This window comes from Homo sapiens, chromosome 6 (assembly GCF_000001405.40).
Source record: "Homo sapiens chromosome 6, GRCh38.p14 Primary Assembly".
In the NCBI taxonomy this organism is placed as follows: domain Eukaryota; kingdom Metazoa; phylum Chordata; class Mammalia; order Primates; family Hominidae; genus Homo; species Homo sapiens.
The window spans coordinates 110,935,454-110,939,679 of NC_000006.12; the positions used below are offsets into that span (position 1 = coordinate 110,935,454).

Here is a 4,226-nt window from a genome sequence, read left to right on the forward strand (position 1 = left end):
AACTGCTGAGTGGCTACCTTCCTAAGCCTTATTTATTTATTTATCTTTTTGAGACGGAGTTTTGCTCTTGTTGCCCAGGCTGGAGTGCAATGGCACGATCTCGGCTCACCGCAACCTCTGCCTCCTGGGTTCAAGCGATTCTCCTGCCTCAGCCTCCCAAGTAGCTGGGATTACAGGCATGTGCCACCATGCCCAGTTAATTTGCATTTTTAGTAGAGACGGGGTTTGTCCATGTTGGTCAGGCTGGTCTCGAGCTCCCGACCTCAGGTGATCTGCCCGCCTCGGCCTCCCAAAGTGCTGGGATTACAGGCGTGAGCCACTGCACCTGGCCACCTCTGAGCCTTATTTATTAGTCTTACCTTATACTTAGGGCAGTGGTGCTCAAATTTTAAAAAGCATCATAATTACTTGAAGCATTTGTTAAAAGTGCATATTTCTGGTCCATACACCAACCCTCCCTCCCCATTCTGATTCTAGTAGGTCTGTGGTTTAACTGAAGGATCCATATTTAATATTTTATATTTTTTTGAGACAGGGTCTCACTTTGTCACCCAGGCTGGAGTGCAGTGGTGTGATCTTGATTCACTGCAGCCTCAACCTCCTGGGTTCAAGTGATCCTCCCACCTCAGCTCCCAAGTAGCTGAGACCACAGGTGTACACCAACACACTTGGCTAATTTTTGTATTTTTTATAGAGATGGAGTTTCACCATGTTCCCCGGGCTGGTTTTGAACTACTGAGCTTAAGCCTCACTTTGGCCTCCCAAAGTGCTAGGATTGCAGGGCTGAGATCTATCTATCTATCTATCTATCTATCTATCTATCTATCTATCATCTATCTATCTATCTTTTTTTTTTTTTTTTTTGAGAGAGAGTTTTGTTGCTCTTGTTGCCCAGACTGGAGTGCAATGGCACCATCTCGGCTCACTGCAACCTCCGCCTCCCGGGTTGAAGCAATTCTCTTGCCTCGGCCTCATGAATAGCTGGGATTACAGGCATGCACCACCACGCCCGGCTCATTTTGTATTTTTAGTAGAGACAGGGTTTCTCCGTGTTGGTCAGGCTGGTCTCAAAGTCCCAAACTCAGGTAATCTGCTCACCTCGGCCTCCTAAAGTGCTAGGATTACAGGCGTGAGCCACCACGCCCGGCCTGGGATCTATATTTTTAACAAGCATTTCAGTGATTATATTACAGAGGGTCTAGCACCACATTGAGAAATACTGACTTAGCCAAAGAGGGTTCTTTCTTCTAAGGGAAAAAAATTTTTCTTTGTAATTTACTCACTCACTCAAGAAGTATTTATTAAGTACGCACTGTAAACTTACAATTGTATTAATTGTAAAGTTGGTATGTGTAGACTGAAAAGGACTTTTGGTACAAAACTGTTTGCAAAATACAAAATAAAGCAGATGGGCGGGGCGCAGTAGCTCACGCCTGTAATCCCAGCACTTTGGGAGGCCAAGACGGGTGGATCACCTGAGGTCAGGAGTTCGAGACCAGCCTGGCTGATGAGACCCTGTTCCTACTAAAAATACAAAAATTAGTCAGGCGTGGTGGTGTGTGTCTGTAGTCCCAGCTACCCGGGAGGCTGAGGCTCAAAAATCACTTGAACCCAGGAGGCAGAGGTTGCAGTGAGCTGAGATCACGCCACTGTACTCCAGTCTGGGTGACAGAGTGAGACTCCATCTCAAAAATAAAAATAATAAATAAATAAATAAAGCAGACGGCCAGCTGAGCCTGGATACCAGATTGTTCACATCAGTGAGTAGAGAAAGCTAATGAGACAAAGCATCAGAGGAGCATAACGAAGGACGCTGGATTTGGAAGAAGAACCTTCAGCATGAAAATCTCTTAGTGCCAGCCCTTCCTCTGAGGCAATAATCAAGATGTGTACTGAGTTACAGCAGAAAGTTAGATTTTAGGGTCAGAGAGATCAGAATTAAAATGTAGACCTTATGGCTGGGTGCAGTGGCTCATGCCTGTGATTCCAACACTTTGGAAGGTCAAGGGAGGAGGATTGTTTGAGGTCAGGAGTTTAAGACCAGCCTGGGCAACAGAGCGAGACCCATGTACCTACAAAAAATAAAAAAAATTAGCCAGACATGGAGGCACACACCTGTAATCCCAGCTATTTGGGAGGCTGAGGTGGGAGGATTGCTTGAGCCCAGGAGGTCAAGGCTGCAGTGAGCTGAGATCATGCCACTGCACTCCAGCCCAGGCAACAGAGCAAGACCCTATCTAAAAAAAAAAAAAAGAAAAATTAGACTTTGTCACCTACTGCCTACGTGAAGCCTTGGACAAGACACATTTGTCAGTCTCCATTCCTCCATCTGTAAACTGAGGGTGGTAATAATCTACCCTCAGGCTTCTTGTAAGAACTGAAGAAAAACATGAACATCAAGGATTTGACAAACTTCCTGGTTTATGATAGTTACTTAACTGGTGGTCATTATTATTAGGTGTCCTATTGGGAAAATAATGAGGTAACCCCACCCCACAAGATGAACAAGAAGAGACTGGAAGGCCAGGCAAGGTGGCTCACCCCTGTAATCCCAGAACTTTGGGAGGCTGAGGTGGGAGGATCACTTGTGGCCTCCCAAAGTGCTGGGATCCAGACCGGCCTGGGCAACACAGTGACAACGCTTCTCTATGAAAAAAATATTTTTTGTTTGTTTGTTTGTTTTGAGACAGGGTTTTGCTCTGTTGCCCAGGCTGGAGTACAGTGGTATGAACACAGCTCACTGCAACCTCGACCTCGTGGGTGCATGTGATCCTCCCACCTCAGCCTCCTGAGTAGCCAGGACTATAAGCGCATGCCACCGCCCTCGGCTAATTTTTAAAAAAAAATTTTTTTGTAGAGATGAGGTAGTGCCATGTTGCCCAAGATGGTCTCAAACTCGCTTGAGCAATCCTCCCACCTCAGCCTCCCAACATACTGGATTACAGGTGTGACTCACTGTGCCCAGCCTGAAAATTTTCTATTTTTAGAGACTGGAGCAGACACTACTAGCTGCCTTCCCTCAATTCATTGTCCTTTTATTTATTTATTTTTTTCTTTCTGAGAGAGCAGGAATATTGCTAACCACAGAACTACATTTTCCAACCTCCTTCACAGCCCAAGGGTGGCCATATTCCACAGTGTTGGTCAATGGGACTTACATGAAAGTCTACTGGATGTTCTTTTTGTAATTTTTTTTTTTTTGAGACAGTCTCACTCTGTTGCCCAGGCTCGAGTGCAGTGGCGCCATCTTGTCTCACTGCAACCTTTGCCCCCTGGGGTTCAAGGGATTCTTGTGTTTTAGCCTCCCAAGTGGCTGGGATTGTAGGTGCACACCACCACGCTCAGCTAATTTTTGTATTTTTTAGTAGAGACAGGGTTTCACCATGTTGGCCAGGCTGGTCTCTAACTCCTGACCTCAAATGATCCGCCTGCCTTAGCCTCCCAAAGTTCTGGGATTACAGGCGTGAGCCACCACGCCCAGCCTCTACTGGACTTTCTCTTTTTTTTTTTTTTTTTTTTTTTGAGATGGAGTCTCACTCTGTCTCCCAGGCTAGAGTGCAGTGGCGCAGTCTCGGCTCACTGCAACCTCCGCCTCCCAGATTCTCTTACTTCAGCCTCCCAAGTAGCTGGGACTACAGGTGCATGCCACCACACCCAGCTAATTTTTCTATTTTTAGTAGAGAAAGGGTTTTGCCATGTTGGCCAGGCTGGTCTCAAACTCCTGACCTCAGGTGATCCGCCTGCCTCAGCCTCCCAAAGTGTTGGGATTACAGGCATGAGCCACCATGCCAGGCAAGGACTTTCTATTTTATTTTCTCCTTACAGCTTTCTTCTACTTCCCTGGCACAGACACGTGGGGCTGGGGTGCAAAGGCCATCTTTTGATCAGGAGAGACAATGAGCAGAATAGAAGACAGAAAACATAAGATACAAGAAGAAGAGACACTGGTGACATGATGGAGACACTGCCGCTCAAGACTACCTACTCTAATTACCTATGTGAGAAGACTAAACCCATGTGGTGAAAAAAAAAGAAAAGAGAGACATAATCGTCAAAGACCGAGAAGCAAAAGTCAGCCTGGCAAAGAAAACAGCATTAGCAAAGGCCCAGTGGCAAAGAGAATATAAGGCAGGATGTAGAGTTTCAATAAATCATCTTGGTTGGAACAAAAGGGCCAGTTGGTGGGTGAAAAGGAAGAGTGTGAGGTTTGATAAGGTGTGGTGGGT

The 4,226-nt window shown here is 46.1% G+C and overlaps 1 annotated feature.

Annotated features, from left to right (window-relative positions):
• Positions 2,899 to 3,099: a silencer, noted in NCBI's record as "peak6032 fragment used in MPRA reporter construct". NCBI's record gives its function as "represses an SCP1 promoter by STARR-seq MPRAs in K562 erythroleukemia cells {active_cell/tissue: K562}" and the evidence as "EXISTENCE:reporter gene assay evidence [ECO:0000049][PMID:32103011]".